The sequence below is a fragment of the Homo sapiens genome, chromosome 1 (genome assembly GCF_000001405.40).
Source record: "Homo sapiens chromosome 1, GRCh38.p14 Primary Assembly".
NCBI classification, from domain to species: Eukaryota; Metazoa; Chordata; class Mammalia; order Primates; family Hominidae; genus Homo; species Homo sapiens.
In genome coordinates, this window is record NC_000001.11 from 203,600,248 (window position 1) to 203,625,785 (window position 25,538).

A 25,538-nucleotide genomic window follows, 5' to 3' on the forward strand; every position below is an offset into this window, starting at 1 on the left:
ATCTTGTTTTGGTGGGTTTTAGCCAGCTTATTTACTGCAAACTGTTTTATCAGCAAGGTCTTTGTGACCTGTATCTTGTGCCAATCTCCTATCTCATCCTGTGACGTAGAATGCCTAACTATCTGGGAATGTAGCCCAGTAGGTCTCAGCCTTATTTTACCCAGCTCCTAGTCAAAATGGAGTCACTCTGGTTCAAATACCTCTGACACTAGGAGTCTGATTCAGTTCAGCTGGGTCTCACTTCCTGACCTGTTTCCACCTCAGTGCTCTAACCTGCCCATTGCCCCCTCAGCCTGAGGAAGCAGGTTTCTTTCAAGCACGTCTGAGGCTGCACTCTCACTATGCAGTACCACACTCCCACCCTCACTGAAAGGCAGGCCACCCCGCCCCCACAGCCCTGCCTCCATTACACAAAGATCCACCTCACCCCCACCAGAGGCCCCAGGCTAACTGGAAGGACCCTAGGCCGCATTATGGACTGTCTTGGGGACAGCTAGAGGCAGGCCTGCACCCAGATGAAGATGTGGGGAGGCAGAACAGAGTCTGGAGTCTGGAGAATTGGGCTGTCTCTTGGTTCCAATAGTGCTGTGGCAGATAAACAATTACCGAGGGCTTTCTGCAGGCCAGCCAGACAGGGGCCTAGCCTGGGACTACTACTGTTCCCCCTCTAGGCTGCCCCCACCAGCTAGCTCTCTGCACCACACGGAACCGGAACCCGAACACTGAGCCGCACTCCCATGTCCAGCCACATCTGCTTGCTCTCCATCTCACCTTCTTCTTCATCTCCCTTTCCCTAAAACTTTTCTGAGCCTCTTCTTGTTTTCTCCCCATTTCTTCAATTTCTTCCCTGCCCTCTCCTTCTTTATTTCTCTTTCTTTTCCCCTCCTCTCTTCCCCTCTCCTGTTCTCCTCCAGAGTTCTTCCCTCCCCTCCCCATCCATCCCCCAAGTCCACACCCCATCCCTCCTGCCACTATATTTAGCTCCCAGCCGGGGCTTTAGAAAGGCGCCACTGCTGGAGCTGGCGTCTAGTCTTGAAGGGTCTGTCAGCATTTCCATAAGAGGCTCAGCTGGGATGAGTTTATGACTGAGCTATTTTCTTTCCTTGCCTCACCGGCCCTGGGCTGAGCATAAGCAGAAAGGGGACCTCCAGGTACATTGGAGAGTTCTCCCCTGACATGGGCAAGCTCTTCCAAAGAAAAAGGAACTATGGGTTAAATCTTAGGTGAATCTGGGACCTAGGTAACTAGCAATTTGTGGGGCACAGCGAGTTAGGACTCTGCTATTGGTTAGGAACTCCCAGAGCCTGAGGGCAGAGCCTTCCTAGCCAGAGCGGGAGCAAATGTTTGCCCTCAGGATTCATCATATGACCTAAGCAACTTTGAAAGACTTCTTTCCCCAAAGTATTCACCAGCCTGCTATGGTCTCTGTAATCCCCACTGTTATAGCCATTTCTTTCTGTTAAACCAATGCCTCTAGAAGACCTCCTATAAAAATCATTTCCAATATTTGATGGACACATTACTAAGTGGTTTGAACACACCATTGCTTTTGATCCTCACAATTTAGCACTTTGATGAAACTTGCTGAGGACACTCAGTTCATTTTTATTTTTATTTTTTGAGACAGGATCTAGCTCTGTTGCCCAAGCTGGAGTGTAGTGACGCAATCTCTGCTCACTTCAGCCTAGACCTTCTGGGCTCAAGCGATCCTCCCACCTCAACCTCCCAAGTAGCTGGGACTACAGGCATGTGCCACCATGCCTGGCTAATTTTTGTACTTTTTGTGGAGATGGGGTTTTGGCATGTTGCCCAGGCTGGTCTCATGAACTCCTGGGCTCAAGCAATCCACCAGCCTCGGCCTGTAGTGCTTGGACTGCAGGTATGAGCCACCCCACCCGGCCAACACCCAGCTTAGTAGCAGTCAAGCCTAAGCTTGAATGCAGGTCTTGCACCTCCGACTGTTGTACTTTCTTCACCACACTGAATGAAACTGCCGCCCTGGGTAGACCAAGAATTTACAGCTACAAGGCCAGAAGCTTCAGCAGCAGGTTCAGAGACCTGGCTGGAATCCTGGCTCTACTACTTAAGTGTTATGTGGCCTTGGGCAGGTCACTTCACTACAGTGAGTCCCTCAGAGGACCGTTATGAGGACATAATGACCTAAATGCTCAACAGATAGGTGTTAATAAAGGGTAAATAGTATCACTTTCATGTTAACAGAGCCAGATCCCTGAAAGTGGGGGATGTGGGACAACCAAGTTCCATGGGACAGGATAGCAGGGATCTGGAGAGGTGTGGGCTGTGGCATGCGTGAGATGAGCAGCAGACCTGGCTAGCATGTGCAGGTGCAGGGGCATGGGGCAGCAAATGCCAACCACCATGTAGTCCCTTGAGTGGGATGATACATAAACACCATTCACATCTATCTGTTCATTTACTCCCAAAGGCTGAGGATGGCTGTAAGTGGGAGACAGAGCCAGCATTATTATCCCCATTTTACAGGTATGGAGACCAAGGTCCAGAAGAGGAAAGTAATCTGCCCAAGGTCACAGCTAATTATTTCATTCATTTGTTCACTCTCTCATTGAAGATATATATATATATATAGTCTACATATAGAGAGAGAGACTCCAGGCTGGAGTGCAGTGGTGTGATCTTGGCTTACTGCAACCTCTGCCTCCCAGGTTCAAGTGATTCTCCTGCCTCAGCCTCCCAAGTAGCTGGAATTACAGGCGCCCACCACCATGCCTGGCTAATTTTTGTATTTTTAGTAGAGATGGGGTTTCACCATGTTGGCCAGGCTGGTCTCAAACTCCTGACCTCAGGTGATCCGTCATCCTCGGCCTCCCAAAGTGCTGGGATTACAGGCGTGAGCCAGTCACTGCGCCTTGCCTTCTCATTGGATATATAGTGAGCATCTACTACATGCAGATGCTGTGTTATACACTGGACATACTCAGTGACAGAGCTAGAATCAGAACCCAGGACCGGGACACCTGTCCCATGAATTCTCCAGTATAAGACTGCCATGCAGCCTTAGGGCCAGAGTTACTGGTTCTACTGGTGACAAGTAGGGACTGACCATAGGTAGAGGACAAAGGTGCACCCTGTATGGATCATCTCTAACCCTTTGGCCTTACCCAACCCCCACCCCATACTAGCTTGGGAAAGCCACATTGCAATGTTTCCCTGAAAGGCGGGCAAAGAAGTTGCAGAGTAAAGAGACCTCGGGCGAGCATAGTTCTCGATCCCTTGGGTCCTTAGTCTTTCTAGAGCCCAACCACAAATGCCATATCTACCACCCCATGACAAGATGGCTGTTCCCCTCCAACAGGAGCAGCTGGAGGGTCCCCCAGGATCCAGAAATCCTGACTATTAGGTTAGAGCAGGGCTTCAGAGACTTCAAGTGAACTGGAGGACAGAGATACTCCATCCCATTCACCTTCCTGGGACAAAGGAAGTTACTTCCTGGCTTCTCTCTGAATGCTACACTAATTCTTCCTCCTGGGATAAGAACATCATTTATAGCATCAGATAATGTAGATGGGTTAAAGGGTGGGAGAAACAGAGGTAGAGTAACTTCAAGAGTTGTAAATAGGACCATGAGGTTGCCCAAGGAGATGTGCAATTTCCCTAAATCTCTCCCATCCATCCATGGCCCATCCACACACCCACTTGAATATCTACCCACCCACCCACCCATCCATCCACCCACCCACCCACCCATCCATCCACCCACCCACCCATCCATCCATCCACCCATCCATCCATCCATCCATCCATCCACCCACCCACCCATCCATCCATCCATCCACCCATCCACCCATCCATCCATTCATCCACCCATCCATCCATTCATCCACCCAACCATCCATTCATCCATCCACCCAGCCATCCATTCATCCACCCACCCAGCCATCCATTCAACCATCCACTCAATATAGTTTATTGGGCATCTATAAGGCAAATGCTAACATTAGTGTTTTCCTCTCTCTCCTGCTTCTTTTTCTTCACAAGATCCAAGGGTAAGAAGGCGGCAAATATCCAAGGGTAAGAAAGCAGGAAATATTTTTTCTAGAGATTATCTCTTCAACCAATCAGCCTCTACTAAAAACCAAGCTAATTCCCCAGATAAACCAGCTTCCCCCAGCTGCTGGTACCTGTGATGAACAATCTTTCCTGCCCAGAAGCTTTTATTGTGTTTAACTTGAAGCCCTCCAGCACCATCTATGCTGCATTTGCTGCTCTCACCTGAACACTTCTTCTCCCCTTTGCTGTTCTATTTTTCATTTGCTCCCTTATTCTCATGGCCTCCAGGAAAGAGCTTAGACCTGGAGTCAGAAAACTTCATTTTGAATTCTAGCTCTTTCAGTCACAGTTGAATGACCATAGCCAGTTTCTCCATCTGCAAAATGAGTATAATAATACCCAGTTGTTGTGAGGATCAAATGAGATAATGGATGGGAAGCAGTTTTGTAAACTGTAAATGGCCTTACTCATGTGAAGGTTTATCATTAATTCCCCCTGTTTCTCTGACACCAAAGAGAGACAAGCTGGGGAAGGCAACAGGACTCTAGGTCAGAGCTGAGAATGATGCATTTGAACCCTAACTCTGCCCTCTGGCTCTCCAGGAGACCGTGGGAAAGCCATGAAACCTCTGAGCCTCGGTTTCCTCACCAGGAAAGGAGTCATTAGATCCATGTGCTTCCACCAGCTGGGGAGAGGAGTTGCTTGTAAACAGTGATGGCTCACTCTCTATTTTAGAGATGCTTCTGAGCTCACCACCACCAATTACCATTTATTGAACACACAAGATGCTATATCCTGGGCTGGGTAACTAGAACTTCCAAAGGCCTAGGCCTTGACCAGGGATGGCAGACTACCTACCCTAGCCCTGTCGAGGAGCTGAGCAAGGCACCCTCTCACCACACGTGTTTCCCTGCCTTCTCTGCTCCTGCATAACTCAAGTAGAAGTGACAGGCCTTATCCCTGGTATAGGCCACCAACATATGGCAGGACCCTAAATAATCAGAAAAAGGAGGATTTCCTTGTCAAGTCTGAGACTACTCAGCTGCCAAGGACTGCTAATCTCTGCTTCTCATTGTCTCTCACAGCTGCACCTCCTTTCTGCTTCTGCTGTCCTCCTGGAGGATTCTCAAGCTGACGTTGTTGTGTAACCTACTAGTGGATCCCCACAGCTTCGGCATTGCTTCTCTCCCATTCCTTCCACCCACTGCTGTCATATTAATCTTCCCAAAATGCTGCTTTGGCCTCTCAGTTTCCTCTTGGACACCTTCAATGATGCTTTGTTGTCTAGAAGACAAAACAACATTTTGAAATCAAGCTGACCTGGTGCCAATCCTGGCCCTGCCACTGATGGGCAGGTTACTCCAACCTCTCTGAGCAACCAGTTTCTCAACTGCAAAATGAGGCCAATAGTACTGCTATCATGTTACTGTGATTAAACCTTAAGATACAGTTATATGCCACATAATGACATTTTGGTCACCAACACACTGCATATACGATTGTGGTCCCATAAAAACTATAATATCAGTCAGGAGTTCGAGACCAGCCTGGCCAACATGGCGAAACCCCATCTCTACTAAAAATACAAAAATTAGTTGGGCGTGGTGGCAGACACCTGTAATCCCAGCTACTCGGGAGGCTGAGGCAGGAGAATTTCTTCAACCTGGAAGGTGAAGGTTGCAATGAGCCTAGATCACGCCACTGCACTCCAGCCTGGGTGACAACAGTGAGACTTCATCTCAAAAAATAAATAAATAAATAAATAAATAAATAAATAAATTATAATACCATATTTTCATGGTACCTTGTCTATGTTTAGATATGTTTAGACACCAGTGTGTTATAATTGCCTATAGTACAATAACATGCTGTACAGGTTTATAGCCTAGGAGCAATAGGCTATACCATCCAGCTTAGGTGTGTAGTAGGCTACACCATCTAGGTTTGTGTGGGTATACCTATGATGTTTGCAAAACAATGAAATCACCTAACAATGCATTTCTCAGACTGTAGCTCTGTTTGTTAAGTGACTCAGGACTGTTTATGTAAGGCACGGTGCCTAGCTTGTAGAAATTACTCAGTATACGTTAGCTCTTTCCCTTTTCCTCTCCTCTTTTCTTTGGTATTACTTCCCTCCATGGTCTCCACAAGCAAGGGGCACGGTGTGAGCCTAATTGTACATCTACCCTGGGAATTCTGGAACCCTGATGCTGACAACCAATACATCACATTTACAAGGGCCAGGAGGGCACTGAGAAAAAGGTAAAGGCCTTTGGGATTGAGCATCAGGCTGCTGAAACATCAGGCTTGAGGCTTCAAGCAAAAAGGGAAGATGAAGGCTGCCCCCTGTACTGTGAGTGTGGCGAGGCCTGGGAAGGCAGAAAACACACCCTGAGATAAGAACACTGGTTCTTGATCTATAAGAAAGACATTGTGGGCCGGGCGCGGTGGCTCGTGCCTGTAATCCCAGCACTTTGGGAGGTCGAGGTGGGCGGATCACAAGGTCAGGAGATCAAGACCAGCCTGACCAATATGGAGAAACCCCGTCTCTACTAAAAATACAAAAATTAGCCTGGTGTGGTGGCATGTGCCTATAATCCCAGCTACTCGGGAGGCTGAGGCAGGAGAATCGCTTGAACCAGGGAGTCGGAGGTTGCAGTGAGCCGAGATCGCGCCACTGCACTCCAGCCTGGTGACAGAGTGAAACTCCATCTCAAAAAAAAGAAAGACCTTGTTAGATAACTTAGCTAGGCATGGTGCCAGGCACCTGTAATCCCAGCTACTCGGGAGGCTGAGGCAGGAGAATCATTTGAACCTGGGAGGTGAAGGTTGCAGTGAGCTGAGATCGCACCATTGCACTCCAGCCTGGGCAACAAGAGTGAAACTCCATCTCAAAAAAAAAACAAGAAAGACATTGTTAGATAGCATTGAGCATATCACTTAAATGGCCTTGGCTCACCCCCTGGGGAAATCATGTTCTTTCAAAGACACTATAAAACAAACAAACAAAAAAAGCAACAGTAGCTACAGAGTTCCTGCTCCAGCAACCAGGAGCCTTGAGGCAGCACAAGGACACCGGGGCGGGAGCGTGGCCCAAGAAGCAGAGACAGCAACAACAACAGGATGACTTCATTTACTGAGTTATCAAAAACCACAATGTCTGAAAACCACAATGTCTGCCAAGAAAGAGGATGAGTCACCAAGACCCACAGGAAAGAGGGGCTGGGGTGGGTTGGGGTGGGCAGCATGGCATGATGAGAAAAGCAAGTATTTTGACAGCACACAGATTCAAATCCTGACACATCTCTGAGGCCTTCAGCTCTCTGGGTCTCAGCTTCCTTTATCTTTAGTTTTTATTTATTTTTATTTCAAAAGAAATGAGATGGAGTCTTCTCTGTTGCCCAGGCGGGAGAGCAATGGTGCAATCTTGGCTCACTGCAACCTCTATCTCCTGGGTTCAATTGATTCTCCTGCCTCAGCCTCCCGATTAGCTGAGATTACAGGTGCATGCCAGCACACCGGCTAATTTTTGTATTTTCAGTAGAGATGGATTTTACCATTTCGGCCAGGCTAGTCTCGAACTCCTGACCTCAAGTGATCCACCCATCTGGGTCTCCCAAAGTGCTGAGATTACAGGTGTGAGACACCATGCCCAGCCCTCAGCTACCTTATCTTTAAAAATGGGAAAGAGCCAGGCACAGTGGCTCACATCTGTAATCCCAGCACTTTGGGAGGCCAAGGCAGGTGGATCACGTGAGGTCAGGAGTTCGAGACCAGCCTACGTGGTGAAACCCCATCTCTACTAAAACTACAAAAATTAGATGGGCGTGGTGTCATGTGTCTGTAGTCCCAGCTACTAGGGCAGCTGAGGCAGGAGAATCACTTGAACTTGGGAGGCAGAGGTTGCAGTGAGCCAAGATTGCCCCACTGCATTCCAGCCTGGGTGACAGAGGGAGACTCCATCTAAAAACAACAACAAAAAAAAAAACAGCAGGGGATGGGGGAGGTAGTAATAATAGTGCTTATTTCATGGGGTTGTTTTTTTTGTTTTGTTTTCTTTTGCTTTTTGAGACAGAGTCTCGCTCTGTCACCCAGGCTGGAGTGCAGAGGCACAATCTCGGCTCACTGCAAGCTCCACTTCCCGGGTTCACGCCATTCTCCTGCCTCAGCCTCCTGAGTAGCTGGGACTACAGGCGCCCGCCACCACGCCCAGCTAATTTTTTTGTATTTTTAGTAGAGACGGGGTTTCACTGTGTTAGCCAGGATGCTCTCAATCTCCTGACCTCGTGATCCATCCACCTCGGCCTCCCAAAGTGCTGGGATTACAGGCATGAGCCACCACGCCAGCCCAGGATTGTTTTAAGGATTTAGTGAGTCCTTTATCTGTATAAAGCACTTCAGCAACAAATGGTATTCACTATTTTGATATCCAAGTTCTTGATTTTCCCCAAAGTTGTTAAGAGTCACACTGTCATCTTCCACTGACCCCCAACAGAAACCCTTGGCTTCAATTTTGATATTCCTTGAGGGATGATTCCTCTAAAGCTCAGGCCTCCCTGCCTTGGTTCCAGCCGTTCCCTGGGAGGCCAGGCCTGCCTGGTCTAGATCCTGAAACCTTCAAGATCCACATCAACTCCTGATGGACTTTCTCTGACAATCCCAGTGTCCACTCATCTCACCACTCTGAACATACAGCATTTCTCTTCTGATCCACTCAACAACACATCACAGACCATTCTAGGACACTCCAGGCTAGAGTGCAATGGCGCGATCTCAGCTCACTGCAACCTCCACCTCCAGGGTTCAAGCGATTCTCCTGCCTCAGCCTCTCAAGTAGCATGCACCACCACACCCGGCTAATTTTGCATTTTTAGTAGGGACGGGGTTTCTCCATGTTGGTCAGGCTAGTCTCGAATTCCCGACCTCAGGTGATCCGCCCGCCTCAGCCTCCCAAAGTGCTGGGATTACAGGCCTGAGACACCACACCCGGCCCATGCCTTGCTTTAGTATGTCACTGGTTCATTCTTCATGTGTGTAAGTGTTTACATCCAACTATACCACAGCCTTTTTGTAACTCTTCCTGCAGCTGGTACAAAGCCAGTCACATACTTGAAGTTAAAGCTATTTGTGTTCTGAATAAACAAATGGACTTAGCTTAGTTAGTGCATTAGCCTAATGGGATTGGGGCTTAGGGTCCAGGATATAGATGGCTCCCAGAGTCCAAGCCACCCATACTGCTCTGTGCCACTGGCCAACCAGGCACGAGATGAGCGAGCGTGAGTGAGCCTCCCATCACCACAGCCAGAATTAAGGCACAAGCCCTGCAGAGGGACCCCGAGGGCTTTTCTTCCTCTACCTTCCTGTTTTCCATGATACTGATTCAGTTCAAGGTGGCTGGGGCCTTTAGGAAGGAAAATAACCAGGCAGACCCAAACTGAGACATCAATGCAGACATAGCTACAGAGGCTGGGGCTGGGGCAAACCTCAGGCAAGCTAGGAACAGCGTCCAAGGGAACACAAGTGTCTCCATGCTAATGTGAAATCAGGTGGTGCTGGGTATCTCATCAGCCTAATAGGGCATAGTGCAGGCAGTCCATGGGGCAGCCAATTGTCTGGGTTCCACAAGGGGGTGGCGGTCATTGAAGGAACAGTTTGAATCCAGAAGGGCCCCAGCATCCAGCCTCAGGGAGGCATCTGTGAACGCCTCCCCAGATGCACACAGCCATGTTAAGAACTGAAAGGCACTGGTCCCCTGTCTGATTGGCAAGGGCTCTCAGAGGAGATAAAGGAGCCTGTCAGGCAGGGCTGCTGCACTCTTCCTGGACTGGGATATGCTTTCCATCTTTCAGGTGTTTGCTGGATAGGATGCCCTTCTTACGAAGGTTCAGAATCTCCAGATGAAGAAGCAGAGGCCAGAGGGAAAGAATGCCATGGAGATAATTCATACGAGTACTGCTTCTGTCAATGGTAATTCAAAAATGACCTGGCCAGGAGCCAAGATAGATGCAGGAACTAGGAAGACAGAGGAAGGGAACAAGCAGAAGGAGCGGCTGACAGATCGGTCTGCAGTGCACCATAAGAAGACGGCTCTGCCAGTCTAATGCATTCGAGCGATATCTTGTTGGTAGAGAAATACCCTAATGATGTGACCTCTCTGAAGTGTGACATTTAGCTGGGCGTGATAGCCTGTAATCCCAGTGGTTTGGGCTTTGGGAGGCCAAGGCCAGAAGACCACTTAAGGTGAGGAGTTCAAGACCAGCCTGGGCAACATAGCAAGACCCCATGTCTATAATAAAAAATAAATAAACATAAACTATCTAGGCATGGTAGTGTGCACCTGTAGTTCTAGCTACTAGAGAGACTGAGGTGAGAGGATTGCTTGAGCCCAGGAGCTCAAGGCTGCAGTGAGCTGTGATCATGCCACTGCACTCCAGCCCTAGTGACTGAGTGAAACCTTATAAAAATAAATTAATTACATTTAATTGAATTTAAAAGTGTGATCTTTATCTTATTTATTTATTTATTTATTTTTGAGACAGAGTCTGGCTTTGTCACCCTGGCTGGAGTGTAGTGGTGCAGTCACGGCTCACTGCAGCCTCAATCTCTGATCCTCCTGCTTCAGCCTCCTAAGTAGCTGGGAATACAGGCATGCGCCACCATGCCCGGCTAATTTTTATTTTTTGTAGAGATGAGGTCTCGCTATGTTGCCCAGGCTGGTCTTAAACTCCTGGCCTCAAGCAGTCCTCCCTCCTCGGCCTCCCAAAGTGCTGGATCTACAGGCATGAGCCACCATGCCTGGCAAAAGTGTGATCTTTGGATTTAATATCAATACTGACTGAATTCCAGACCCCTTTGCTTTTGTGTAAAATCACCCCCTGCTGCTTCTCTTAATGGTGGGGTCCTTGGATAGAAAAAGATAGGAGCAAGGCCCCCAGGTATCTCAGAGTTTGGAGACAAAAAGGATACTTCAGGCTCAAGAATCAGAAAGTACAGAGTTGGACAAAGTATTAGGGTTCTCTAGAGGGACAGAACTAATAGGATAGATACAAGGCCGGGCACAGTGGCTCACACCTGTAATCTCAGCACTTTGGGAGGCCGAGGCAGGCAGATCACGAGGTCAGGAGATCGAGACCATCCTGGCTAACACAGTGAAACCCCGTCTCTACTAAAAATACAAAAAAATTAGCCAGGCATGGTGGCGGGCGCCTGTAGTCCCAGCTGCTCGGGAGGCTGAGGCAGGAGAATGGTGTGAACCTGGGAGGCGGAGCTTGCAGTGAGCCGAGATCGAGCCACTGGGTGACAGAGCTAGACTCTGTCTCAAAAAAAAAGGATAGATACATATAAAGGGGAGTTTATTAGGTATTAACTCACATGATCACAAGGTCCCACAATAGGCCGTCTGCAAGCTGAGGAGCAAGGAGAGCCAGTCCGAGTCCCAAAACTGAAGAACTTGGATTCCGATGTTTGAGGGCAGGAAGCATCCAGCACGGGAGAAACATGTAGACTGGGAGGCTAGGCCAGTCTCTTTTTCACATGTTTCTGCCCGCTTTTTTTTTCATTGCCTTTTTTTTATTATTATTATACTTTAAGTTTTAGGATGCATGTGCACAACATGCAGGTTTGTTACATACGTATACATGTGCCATGTTGGTGTGTTGCACCCATTAACTCATCATTTAGCATTAGGTATATCTCCTAATGCTATCCCTCCCCCCTCCCCCCACCTCACAACAGTCCCTGGTGTGTGATGTTCCCCTTCCTGTGTCCATGTGTTCTCACTGTTCAATTCCCACCTATGAGTGAGAACATGCGGTGTTTGGTTTTTTGTCCTTGCGATAGTTTGCTAGGAATGATGGTTTCCAACTTCATCCATGTCCCTACAAAGGACATGAACTCATCATTTTTTATGTCTGCATAGTATTCCATGGTGTATATGTGCCACATTTTCTTAATCCAGTCTATCATTGTTGGACATTTGGATTGGTTCCAAGTCTTTGCTATTGTGAATAGTGCCACAATAAACATACATGTGCATGTGTCTTTATAGCAGCATGATTTATAATCCTTTGGGTATATACCCTGCCTGCTTTTTATATTCTAGCCACGCTGACAGCTGATCAGATGGTGCACACCCAGATTAAGGGTGGGTCCGCCTCTCCCAGTCCCCTGACCAAATGTTAATCTCCTTTGGCAACACCTTCACAGACGCACCCAGGATCAATACTTTGTATCCTTCAATCCAATCAAGTTGACACTCAGTATTAACATCACAGACAACTTCGCAGAAGGATGTATAACAGGCTAGATGCGGTGGCTCATGCCTGTAATCCCAGCACTTTGGGAGGCTGAGGTAAGCGGATCACTTGAGGCCAGGAGTTCGAGACCAGCCTGACCAACATGGTGAAACCCCATCTCTACTAAAAATACAAAAATTAGCCAGGCTTGGTGTCAGGCACCTGTAATCCCAGCTACTCGGGAGGCTGAGGCAGGATAATCTCTTGAACTGGGGAGGCAGATGTTGCAGTGAGCCGAGATCACACCATTGCACTCCAACTTGGGCGACGAGAGTGAAATGCTGTCTCAAAAAAAAAAAAAATAGATGTATAATTGTCCTTGAGACCAAGCCATTGACCAACGGCTACTCCCTCACCAAATCTTAATAACCTGACACCCTTAGGGCTGTTCCTGGGATGAACTACAGGCTAGGCCACCTCACACTGAGGGCTCCTAAGGCTCCTTGCTTCTGTAGCCCTCCATGGCCTCAGCTGCCCTGCACTACCAGGACAGCAATGTCTGGAGGCCTGCCCTTCCTCCACCATCGACACACTCTAGCATGTTTATCCTGATAAAATCAGGATATACCAAACCCCTGCAACAGTCTTGAAGAGGAAGGGAAGTAAAAGGCCAATATATAACAGGAGATATGAGAAGAAAGAGAAATTCACTCCTGTTCAATAGGGCTAGTGGGAAAAGGCAACTTTTTTTTTTAATTAATATGGACCCTGAGTTTAATACTAGTGAGGATTTTTTCCATTGCAATTAAAAGAAATCCAGTTGCGATTGGCTGGAGCAAAATTTATGTATCTATCAGGCCCAGCTGCACACAGAGCTTACAGGATGTGGTCAGGACTAATTTCCCTCCAACTCATAGCTGGGCTTTCCTTTACATTGGCCCCACTCTCAGACAGGCATTGGCAAGATGGCTCCCAGAAACTCCAGGTGTGTACCCAACTATATTCTTTCTTTCTTTCTTTCTTTTTGAGACAGAGTCTTGCTCTGTCACCCAGGCTGGAGTGCAGTGGCGCAATCTCAGCTCAATGCAACCTCTGCCTCCCGGGTTCAAGTGATTCTCCTGCCTCAGCCTCCCAAGTAGCTGGAAGCACAGGCACACACCACCAAACCCAGCTAATTTTTGTATTTTTTTAGTAGAGATGGGGTTTTACCATGTTGGCCAGGCTGTCTCAAACTCCTGACCTCAAGTAATCTGCCCACCTCAGCTTCCCAAAGTGCTGGGATTACAGGTGTGAGCCACCATTCCTGGCCTACCCAACTATTTTCAATTCTACTGATTGCAGTTTCAAGCAAAGTCCCAGAACTGAGTCTCATTGACTGATTCTGGTTACATGCCCATTCCTGGAGCTAGGAGTGAAGTGCTTCCGAACTGTAAGTTCTTGAAAGTGCATTGATTTTTCCGAAAAATCAGAGTGCTGTTACCAGAAGCCTCCAAGACTACACTCGACCACTAAGGATCCCATCTTGAATCATGGCATCCAGGCAACCACTAAAGTATGTGTCAGGAGTCGGCAAAGTATTTATCGATGGGTAATATGAGGAACTTCTGACAAACCCTTGGGACTCAGTCGTATCCACCTTTGTCTCAGTCTTAAAACAGAGCCTGGCATAAATTCTGTGCATTTGATTTAACTACCCACAAGGTAGTTAGAAAAACTGTGTAAAAAATAAAATAAAGAATGTTTAGCAAAAAAAAAAAAAATCTTTCCCAGGTGTCTCAAAGAGGTAGAAACTACTTGGAAGGTTCTAGTTTTATAATTCAAAAGATCTGATGACCTGGGATTGAGATTGTTGTGATGAAAGCCGAGATAACTTTGGTGCTGGACAGAGAGCGTTTTGCTTCTGGTGTGACAGTAGAAAGTGAGAGAAATGTCCCTGGCCATGAAGTGAGATGGAAGGAATGGAAACTTGGGAGAGGGAACAAGAAATGTGGCTCTGGAAGCTGGTGCACCAGGGAGCCTGTGCTGACAGGACCGGATGCCAGAGTCTGTACACCTCTCAGCTCACCAGGGTTAAGCTCATCCACCAAGAGGCCAGACTCTGTAATAAACTACCTTGTGAACTTGAAATAGCTGACTAAATGTTAAATACAAGAAAGGACAAGTGGGCTGGGTGCAGTGGCTCATGCCTGTAATCCCAGCAATGTGGGAGGCCGAGGCAGGTGGATCACCTGAGGACAGGAGTTTGAGACAAGCCTGGCCAACATGGTGAAGCCCCACCTCTACGAAAAATGCAAAAATTAGATGGGTGTGGTGGCACGTGCCTGTAATCCCAGGTATTCGGGAGGCTGAGGTAGGAGAATCACTTGTAAATGGGAGGCAGAGGTTGCAGTGAGCCGAGATTGTGCCGCTGCACTCCAGCCTGGGCAACACAGCAAGACTCCATCTCAAAAAAAAAAAAAAAAAAAAAAAAAAAACAGAATAGGGATGGAGGAAAGTCAGAGGTCCCAGAGCCATGGATCCCAGGAGCAGAGTCTTTGGAAGCGAACATATAGGCTTCAGAGTGAAGAACAAGGTCTGAAACCAAGCAGTGCTGCAGAAGCCCTGAAGGACACCTAACCTGGGTGTGGGAGAGGAGACCCAGGAGGCTTCTCAAAGGAGGTGGCATAGACCTGAGTCTTAAGAAACTGCTGAGCAGATGGATCTGAGCCACAGTTATTTTGTGACTGCTGTTCCTCAGCCTTTATCATGCAAGAAGCATAATAGGTTGGTTATTGTCAGGCTGATTATCACAGGGAGATGATATCACATTGACTGCACTGGGGTAACTACCAAGCAGAAATCATAGCTCCATGCCTGTAATTACAGCTTGGGCACTATGACCTCTTGTGGTGAGTGGTATCCTATGGTCCCAAAACAGGTGGTCCGGTCAGGATGGACCATCAGGGTGCTGCAGCTCCCATGGTCAATGGGAAGCGCAGGAATGGAGGCCTGGACCTCACAGGAAGATCAGGAGTTGTAGCTGACTTGGAAAAAGTGTGTTCACATAAGGGTAGGCTATGAGACTATCTTCTCCAGAAATCTCCCTCGATTCAGAATCAGCTACTGTTTGGGTAGTGGCAAGGGCATGCCTGCCTAGAATGTGGAGGGGAAGAACCAGTTGACCTCTGAAGATCCCATTTGTCATTGGAGCCCATAGTTCCAGAATCTGCCTCTGTGTTTCTAACTTATCCCAAGGATCTTGGTTCAAGGTGCTGCCCTGGGCCTTTCCCTCAAATTAATTAGTGACGTTTCAGGTTTCACCCTACATAGGAAAGACAGCCCATTGTGTCCCCCACCTGTACACCAGTGCCACAGATGTGGGAAACCCACAGGGGCCTAGAGAGGTTGAACACTTTGCAAAGGCCACTTAGCAAACCATAAATAAGTCCGGGCACGGTGGCTCATGGAGGGTGGGCAGATCACTTGAGCCCAGGAGTTCATGACCAGCCTGGGCAACATGGCGTGAAACCTTGTCTCTACAAAAAATAAAAATAAATAGCTGGGCATGGTGGCATGCACCTGTAGTCCCAGCTACCTGGGAGGCTGAGATGGGAGAATTGCTTGAGCTCAGGAGGTTGAGGCTGCAGAGAGCCAATATTGAGCCACTGCACTCCAGCCTAGGTGACAGGGTGAGATCTTGTCTCTAAATTAATTAATTTAAAAAATAAAACAAAAATAAAACGTTGTCTGTGGTTCCTAACAGAGAACCAATACTCCTCCATGTAACACTACAGGTTTAGCTTTTCGTGCCCATAAACTTGCTCTTTACCCCTGACACCAAGTCCCAGAAGAAGCTAAGAAGGCAGATGAAGCCAGACTGGAGCAATGCCTCCCCCACTCCTCCTTGCCTCTGGCAAGCACCTCTCTATGTCATCCTCACTTTCAGTTCCAGTAGACGAAAGGGCCTCTAAATCAGTTGAGAGAGGGATGCTGGGGAAGACTCAGCAAAAGTCTTAAAATGCCTCATATCTCAGTTGTTGCTCTCTTTTTGTTTCTGGTGGATGCCCCATGAGAGTGTGCACTTAGGACTAAGAACAGACCTCCTGAAGAACTTGCTTGCATCTCGTAGCTAAAAGCAGGGGTATGTAACCCAGGGAGGCTACAAAGTCTTCTTCTCTGAGCATTCACTATCTTTTGAGCCACCTGCAGTTCAGTTTGGAGGCAGGGGCATGGGTGGAGAGACTTCCCAAGAGTACAGGATGCCTCCTTCTCTAGAGGTCTGGGAAGACCCAAAGGAGCTGGGAACAGAGTCAGGCAGACAGTTGTTGGGTAGTGAGCAGTTTATTTAAAAACATTCACCCAGTTGGCTGGGCCTGAGGCCTTATGCCTGTAATCCCAGCACTTTGGAAGGCCGAGGCGGGTGGATCGCCTGAGGTCAGGAGTTTGAGACCATCCTGACCAATATGGTGAAACCCCATCTCTACTAAAAATACAAAAATTAGCTGGGCATGATAGCGCACACCTGTAATCTCAGCTACTCAGGAGGCTGAGGCAGGAGAATTGCTTAAACCTGGGAGGCAGAGGTTGCAGTGAGACAAGATCGCGCCATTGCACTCCAACCTGGGCGAAAAGAGCGAAACTCCATCTCAAAACAAAACAAAAATTCACCCAGTCCAGCTCTCTGCCCCAAGTAGCCTGGTCTCCACCTCTACTCTGCACACTTCCCAGGTTAAATACAGAGAGTAGTTATCCTTTTCCCGCCTTCCTCCCCCATGGACCAAGAGCCTCTGTGGTGAGCACAAAACATTTTCGCCATTCTCAGCTCTTGTTACAGTGAGATGGACACACAGCCTAGACAGACATTTAAAATTTCTGTCTTCCCTGCTGCCCCAGACACTCAGGGTTGGGCCTGAATGCTCCTTTCTCTCTCTCTCTTTTTTTTTTTTTTTTTGAGGTGGAGTCTCACTCTGTTGCCCAGGCTGGAGTGTAGTGGTGCCATCTCAGCTCACTGCAACCTCCACCTCCCAGGTTCAAGTGATTCTCCTGCTTCAGCTTCCCGAGCAGCTGGGATTACAGGTATCTGCCACCATACCTGCTAGTTTTTGTAGTTTTAGTAGAGACAAGAGTTTCACCATGTTGGCCAGGCTGGTCTTGAACTCCTGACCTCAGGTGATCCACCTGCCTCGGCCTCCCAAAGTGCTGGGATTATAGGCATGAGCCACCACGCCTGGACGACACCTACTTCTTAGGACTCCAAAAGTAAAAGGCAATAATGCAGGTAAAGTGGCTTGCTTCTTTGTTTGGCACATAGTAGGCTCAAGAAGTGTTAGCTGGATGAATGACTGAAAGGTAAGCGCACAACATGAGCATTTGCTGGGGCCAGGCTGGGAAGCCATGGCTTCACCAGCTATATGTCTGGAAGGGGTCGTGAAGATGGGGGTCAGGAGCTGCTAAGTCACGGAGAGACTGAAGAGAGCTGAGCACCTCTGATAAAGTAAATTGTACACTAGGTTTCTGGGAGGGCCTGCCTCCTGTGGTCTCCCCAAAATGAGAAGGTGAGTTTCAGAAATCCAGGCTCCAGTGTCATCTGGAGAAGCAGAAGAGCTGGGATTCAGTTCCTGGCAAGGAGATAGGTTCCACTGCCACCTCTCCTTTCCCAGCATCCCCTCCCAGCCAGGGCTTCTCTCCCCAGTTCTCCCCAAATCTGTGGATCCTGAAGCCTGCAGAATTGGCCCGGAATGTAGACGGCAAGAAAGCCTGTCACACCAAGGCAAGGGAAAGAGGCTTGGGCCAGCAGTTAAAGGATTTCTGTTATATTTCTACCATGAACTGTGTGATACCAAACAATGTAGTCAGCCTTTCTGAGCCTCAGTTTCCCCAACTGTAAGATGGGAATAATAACTCATGCCCTATTCTTCCTGCCATATAGGACTATTGCAAGGATCAAATTAAATATTTTACGTAGTCCCTTAGCTGGAGCTCAGTGGGTTTGTAAACTGCAATGTACTGTGCAAACACAGAACTATTAAAGGCTCTGGAACAGGGGGCTTCTGGGGTGGGACAGGTTGTAAACTCTATCTAGCATGGGGTCAGCAAGGATCCTTCCAGTTGGGCTTCCTTTTTGATTTTCATTTGAAACTTAATGAGCACTTAGGGCATTGCTGATTCTCTAATTAGGATTCAAAATTCAATTTAAAAACCATTGCTTGTTCCCTTCACTCCACACTCACTTCCTCAGCTCTATTGAGCCCAACCATTAACCAAAAACTATTTTTAAATGGCATTAATTTGTTATACCCTGAAATAAATGAGAGACAAATATTTTGTTAGAAAAACAAATCATGAACCAAACGCGTTAAAAAAAAATAATAACAGCCTAGTTAATGAGTTCAAAGTGAAATTAAAATCAAACAACTGCAGCTTCCAAAGCAATTGAACCAGAATGAAATTAGAACAGCAAAATATGCACCCAAGTAAATCAAACAAATTCTGTATCTCATCGAAAGTACTGAATCAGAAAGATGCTTCTGGCCCTCACCTCCCGTTTCGGGTTTTCTCATGTCAAATTCTGCACTCCTTCATTTAACAGTATGCACAGATGCCTTTGATGTTCTAGTCACTGGGGATGCAAAGATGGAGAAGAGACAATCCTCTGCCTCCAGGAGCACACAGCCCAACACACAGGTTTTTCCCATGAACACAGGCTGTCTCTGCCCAGCTTAACCCACCTCTAACACAGTGGCCGCCTAGATGGCAGAGTAACATGGAACGCTTGGCATCCCTAGTAATCCTCATTATTGCCAGAATCAGAGCATGAAACCAGCAATACACAAAGAACAAAAACCCAACAAACAAAAGTTGAGCCACAAAGATCTCTGTGGTGACACTAACTAGGTGGTCCTCTGAGACCAGCTCCTCAAGCCCTCAGAGAAAGTGTCCTTTGATTTAATTCTGCATCCCACCCTTGCAGATTCAGACACCCTTTCTAATGATCTCTGTAAAGGCTGTTCCATCCAGTCCTCTCACAGGAATTCCAGGAAGTGGGAAAAATGAAATTGTTGCTTGTCAAGTGTAGAAGACCACCCACACTCAGCAAGGGGGTGAGCTGGAAGCCAGCCCTCCCATGGAGGACCCAGCAAGGTTCTTGCAGTGGAGAAATAGCCCAGCCTGCTGCTGCTATTGCTGCTGAAACAGCTGCTGATATTTGCTTCTCTCTCATATAAATATAGCAAGAATTATTCATCTTTATCTTTCTTGGACCCTCTTAGCTGAAGTCACCATTGTCTTCCCTGAGCAGACCCTCCCTGATTCCTGAAGCAACGCTCAATCTGAACTTGAGAATTAGTTGTTGTTTTTCGTTTTTGGTCTTGTTTTTGAGACTGAGTCTCAGTCTGTCGCCCATGCCGGAGTGCAGTGGCGCGATCTCCACTCACTGCAACTTTCGCCTCCTGGGTTCAAGCAATTCCCGCTTGAATGGGAGGCTTGAACTCAGCCTCCTGAGTAGCTGTGATTACAGGCGTATGCAACCATGCCCAGATAATTTTTTTGTATTTTTAGTAGAGACGGGGTTTTGCTGTGCTGGCCAGGCTGATCTCGAACTCCTGACCTCAAGTGATCTGCCCACTTTCATCTTCCAAAGTGCTGGGATTACAGGCGTGAGCCACCACGCCCAGCCAGAGAATTAGTTGTTTTGATTGTACATGAGAATGTCTTGGAGGGTAAACCCTGGCTATCTGTGTCTCCATCTAGCAGCCTTCTCTGATCTCCTGCCATCTTGACCTAAGCCAAGTCCAAGGACTTCTGCCTTGGTATCTCTGCCTAGCGTTCATGCCCCCAGTCCCTTAGCTGGAGCTCAGTGGGTCTTCCTGGATCCAGTTTCTTCCCCATTAGAACCCTTGCCCTGGGTTTTGTATAATAAGGATAGACAAAGGACATGGGGGCAGAAGTTACTCAGATAAATACATCTGTCTACCCTGCAGCCATCACCAGGCCTGCTCTGCAAGGAGGTAGAAAGAAAAGCATTAGAAATAATCGAAAAGTCCAACTGGAGTCTCACCAACTCTAAGAAGCCTTCTGCAAAGCTTCCAGCCCATCTTCAGCTTTCCTTCGCTAAACTTTCACTGGGTTTTTCACCTGGAACAAAGTTTTAGACTTCAGCATATACTTTATTCTGTTGTTATCTGCTTTATATATCTCCACAACCAGATTAGAGGCTTCTGGAAGGCAGGGACTATGTTACATATCACTATGTTCCATAACACTGCCTAGTAATGCATTGTGCCTGGATTATCCCTCCCACCATCTTTAGGCTTGCAGTCTACCCTACACACTACTGCCACAGCCAGCTTACTAAACACAGACCCAGTGAGGCCACTCAGGGCCCTCCATTGACTGAACTCAAACTACCTCCCCAGTCTTTCTCCTCTACTCTTTTTTCTTTTTTCTTTTTCTTTTTTTTTTTCTTTTTTTTTTTTTTTTGAGACAGACTATCACTCTGTCACCCAGACTGGAGTGCAGTGGTGCAATCTCGGCTCACCGCAAACTCTGCCTCCTGGGTTCAAACTATTCTTGTGCCTCAGCCTCCCAAGTAGCTGGGATTACAGGTGTGTACCACTACACCCAGCTAATTTTTTTACTAGAGATGGGGTTTTGCCATGTTGCCCAGGCCAGGCTTGAACTCCTGGCCTCAGGCAACCCACCCACCTCGTTCTCTATTCTTTCTACCTCCAGACCTTTGCTCATGTCCCACCCTAACCCCGCCTCCATCCAAAACAGTTTAAAGCTTGCTTTTCAAGATTTTTCAGGTACTTGCAAATATTATCTCCTTCCTAGAGCCTTCTAATATTCCCATCTGAGGCAATCACTCCCTAGCATTTCCTAGCATTTTATATTTCATCTTTTAATATGTACTACCTAGCACATAGTAAGCATTCAGTAAATACATTTAAAAGATTATAGCATCTTTGATTGTAGCTACTCATGCTATGAAAGCATCTTTTCCTTCTACTAAACTATAAGCTTATTACCTCTGTATACCTCATCTGGGCCCAGTAGATGTTGAAACAGTAGACATTCAATAAATGTATGCTAAATTGAATAGTAGGTGTTCAGAGATACTTAACTGAATGAATAAAATGCACAGAAATGACTGAATCTAAATGGTAGCTAGTAGCTCAAAGACTTTCTATATTACTTTCTACACTACATTTCTACATTACTTAGTACAAGTGACCAAAAAACCTAGTTTCATCTAGCGTAGGCATGCACAATGAGTCATGTAACTCATTTGTAGGAAAGGCAGGGGTACAGTGGGATATGAGGTACAACGAACTCCAGTGCTGCTGGCACTCACTCCTTAGCTTTCTCGTCTGCCTCTCTTGCATGCGAGCTGTATTCTTTTTTATTGCAGGCTTCTTCCATGGGGCAGGGAACTTGACCCCTGATACTTCCAGAGTATAAGATACTTGACCTCTGATACTTCCAGAGTATCTCTTCACAGTAGTCACAGCAGGGACCAAGCCTTGTTTTCTGTTTAATCGTAAGTGCAAAACTCTCAGGAAAGGATGTAATTGGCTCAGCTTGGGTCAGGTGGGGTTAGGACTGCTAATAAAATGTCAGTTTCAATTGTTGTTTTTTGTTTTGTTTTGTTTTGTTTTGAGATGGAGTCTCACTCTGTCACCCAAGCTGGAGTACAGTGGCACGATCTCAGCTCACTGCAACCTCAGCCTCTGGGGTTCAAGTGATTCTCGGGCCTCAGCCTCCTGAGTACCTGGAATTACAGGCATGCCCAGTGATTTTTTTTTGTATTTTTATTTATGTATTTATTTACTGATACAGAGTCTCACTCTGTCACCCAGGCTGGAGTACAGTGGTGCAATCTCAGCTCACTGCAACCTCCATCACCTGGTTTCAAGCGATTCTCCTGCCTCAGTCTCCCGAGTAGCTGGGACTACAGGCGCGCACCACCGTGCCAGCTAAGTTTTGTATTTTTGGTAGAGACGGGGTTTCACCATGTTGCCCAGGCTGGTCTTGAACTCCTGACCTCAAGTGATCCAACCACCTCGGCCTCTCAAAGTGCTGGGATTACAGGCATGAGCCACCATGCCTGGCCCAGTTTCCATCTTAACAGTGAGAAGAAAGGACGTCCCAAAGAACTGGGTTCGGGCATGGGGAAAATGGCTGCTGTTCTAGCCAAGGCAAAATGGTAGATATTCACAACAGGGAGTCATGCAGTCTGCATTCGGGGGAGGTACAGGAAATGGTGAGGAAGATTTGGAAAACTCAAGGTGGAGTCATCAAGAGGCAGAGGAACACATTCTGTTAAACACCTAAGTGAGAGACAGTGCTGACTGCATTTTCCTCAAGTGAGAGATGGGGTAGGGACAGGGTCCACAGTGATGTAAGCCCTGTAGAGACTGACCTGCTATGGGGAGTTCAGGAGGCTGAGGAGAGCCAGGCTAGATCTAAAGAACAGGAACCTGTAAAGTCAAGAGTACAGCAGGGAGAAGAGGGAAACAGGACTGCTCAGAGCTGAGCAGAACAGGCAGACTATGAACTTCTGATGCCAGAGGCAGTGTCCTCCTTCTTGCCCCAGGGGGGCCAACTCCATTTTCCCACATCTAGTGGTTATTTTTATGGATAGATTTATTTTTACCCGTTCTAGACCTCAAACCTGCCGCTGCAAGAAGCGAAGCACTGAGGCTTCTAGCTTTCCAGAAAACACAGGCCTCAGTGGTCAGCTCAGTGACAGAGATCAGGCTATGGTCCCCTCGGCTCCTCTGGGGTCACATTGACCCACCCCCCGACATCCCTCCCTCCTGTCTGCAGCAGAGCTGGGGTGGGAATGGAGTGGGAGGGGGATTCCTTTTTTCTCATCCCACAACCCCACAGCCGGTCAAGGGGAGGATCTACAGCCACCCTGGAAGTCATAAACCTGGCCTGCCCCTGAATCCTAGCCAGCCAGATGTGGGACAGCCATCAGAGCCTCTTTTGACAGCACCTCCCTGGCAGAGCCTGTCTCCCTGGAATCCAGGGAGCTTGAGGGGAAGATCTTACCTTTCCAATAATAACCAGCTATGAAAGGGTATCATTTCCCAGTCCCCACAAAACAGGCAGCCAAAGCAGACTTCTTCTTTATTGGGACCATACATCTGGCCTAAATTGTCATTCCCCCAAGACAAGTTTACTGAACAGTTAGGCAATGCCTCCACACACAGCCACTGCAGACGAGCTTAAAATATACTTTAATACATTTAAACAGTCATTTCAGAGACTGGCTTTCTTATGATAAAGATGCAACTGACACTCATTGGTGCTAAAATGTCATGTTGTTGCCATCCAGCAGGGAGCCTGACAAGCCATTAAATCTGCAGCTCTGTTAAGCTGATTCATTTCTTTTCCTTTCTTTCTCATGTCTTCCCCAACAATTGATTTGGGCTCCTGAAGCTGATATTTTGCTAGGGTCTACCAAAATCTAACAAGGGTGCTGTGCATTGTAGGGTGTGCCCGTAGTCCCAGTTTCTAGGAAGGCTGAGGCGAGAGGATCACTTGAGGTCAGGAGTTTAAAAGCAACTTGGGCAACACAGGGAGACCCATAATGAAAAAAAAGAAGGAAGGAAGAAGGAAGGAAGGAAGGAAAGGGAGGAGGGAAGGGAGGGAGGAAGGAAGAGAGGAAGGAAGGACGGAAAAAAGGAAGAGAAAAAGAAAGAAAGAGAAAGAAAGAGAGAAAGAAAGAAAGAAAGAAGGAAGGAAGGAAGGAAGGAAGGAAAGAAAGAAAGAAAGAAAGAAAGAAAGAAAGAAAGAAAGAAAGAAAGAAAGAAAGAAAGAAAGAGGGAGGGAGGAAGGAAGGAAGGTAGAGGGAGGGAAGGAAGGAAGGGAGATGGAAGGAAGGAAGGGGAAAGAAAGGGAGAAAGGAAGGGAAGGGAAGGGAAGGGGAGGGAAAAGGAGGGAAGGGGAGGGAAAAAGGAGGGAAGGGAAGAGGGAGGGAAGGGAAGAGGGAGGGAATGGAAGAGGGAGGGAAGAGGGAGGGAGGAAGGAAGGAATCTAACAAGGTACTAACTGTTCTTGAAATGCCCTGGGAAGGTGGGAGTGACTAGAGGAGTTGCAAGAGGCTGAAATGAGAACAAAGGTCACCTTTAGTGTCCTGTAAGTGCCTTGAGTGTCAGACAGTCAATCACTAGACAAAAAAGACCAAACAATCCATAGTTCCCATAGAGGGTGACCCTAAAATCTCCCCTTACCCCTGCAACTTTCTTCGGCTGCTGGCAGGGAGAGGCACAAGCACAGGCAGGGGCTTATTTTTTTTCTCTTGTTTTTAATTTTTTTGTAGAGATGGGGTGGGTCTTGCTATGTTGCCCAGGCTGGTCTTGAAATCTGGCCCCAAGTGATCCTCCCTCCTCAGCCTCCCAAAGTACTGGAATTACACGGATGAGCCACTGTGCCTAGCCAGGGCTTATTTTGGATTTTGTTTTCAGATGACAGCAGGCAATCTCCAGCCTCACATTGATGAACTCTGAGTTCTGAGCCCAGCCCAACCAGTCTAAAAACATTACTGGCCGGGTGCGGGGGCTCACGCCTGTAATCCCAGCACTTTGGGAGGCCGAGGCGGGCAGATCATGAGGTCAGGAGATCGAGACCATTCTGGCTAACATGGTGAAACCCCGTCTCTACTAAAAATACAAAAACAAAATTAGCCGGGCGTGGTGGCAGGGGCCTGTAGTCCCAGCTACTCGGGAGGCTGAGGCAGGAGAATGGCGTGAACCCCGGAGGCGGAGCTTGCAGTGAGCCGAGATCACGCCACTGCACTCCAGCCTGGGCAACAGAGCAAGACTCCGTCTCAAAAAAAAAAAAAAAAACCATAAAGAAAAAAGAAATAGCAGGGTAAGAAAATGAAGAGGAAAAAGAGGACCCAAATGAGAGAACATTGGGAAGGGTGCTAGTTGGACACGGGGGAAACTGGACCCCGTTTCACAACCCTGTTTCTCCATGCACATGTGGCTCTGCTTCTTGGGGGCAGAGATGACAGCAAAGAAGGACAGGGGGTGGTGTGAGCTGTTGGGTTAGAATGATAGGATCAAAGAGGCCTTTTCCCAACCCTCTGTTTAAAAGGTTGGGAAGTAGTGGCCAGTCACCTTCTTCACAGCATAGCTCATAGCTATAACCTGTGAGACATATGTCAATGTGCCTTCCATAAGCATATAAACATGAGTGTGTTTGCTGAGGTAGGTGTGGGAATCTGTCAGTCAATGAAGATATGTTGTGTGAACCAGCTGATGGTGCATGTTTGTGCTTGAAAGC

The 25,538-nt window shown here is 47.6% G+C and overlaps 2 annotated features.

Moving 5' to 3' along the window:
• Positions 1-501: an enhancer, noted in NCBI's record as "H3K4me1 hESC enhancer chr1:203569376-203569876 (GRCh37/hg19 assembly coordinates)". NCBI's record gives its function as "activates a minimal SCP1, AML or CMV promoter by ChIP-STARR-seq in naive H9 embryonic stem cells {active_cell/tissue: H9 hESC(naive)}" and the evidence as "EXISTENCE:reporter gene assay evidence [ECO:0000049][PMID:30033119]".
• Positions 502-1,002: an enhancer, noted in NCBI's record as "H3K4me1 hESC enhancer chr1:203569877-203570377 (GRCh37/hg19 assembly coordinates)". NCBI's record gives its function as "activates a minimal SCP1, AML or CMV promoter by ChIP-STARR-seq in naive H9 embryonic stem cells {active_cell/tissue: H9 hESC(naive)}" and the evidence as "EXISTENCE:reporter gene assay evidence [ECO:0000049][PMID:30033119]".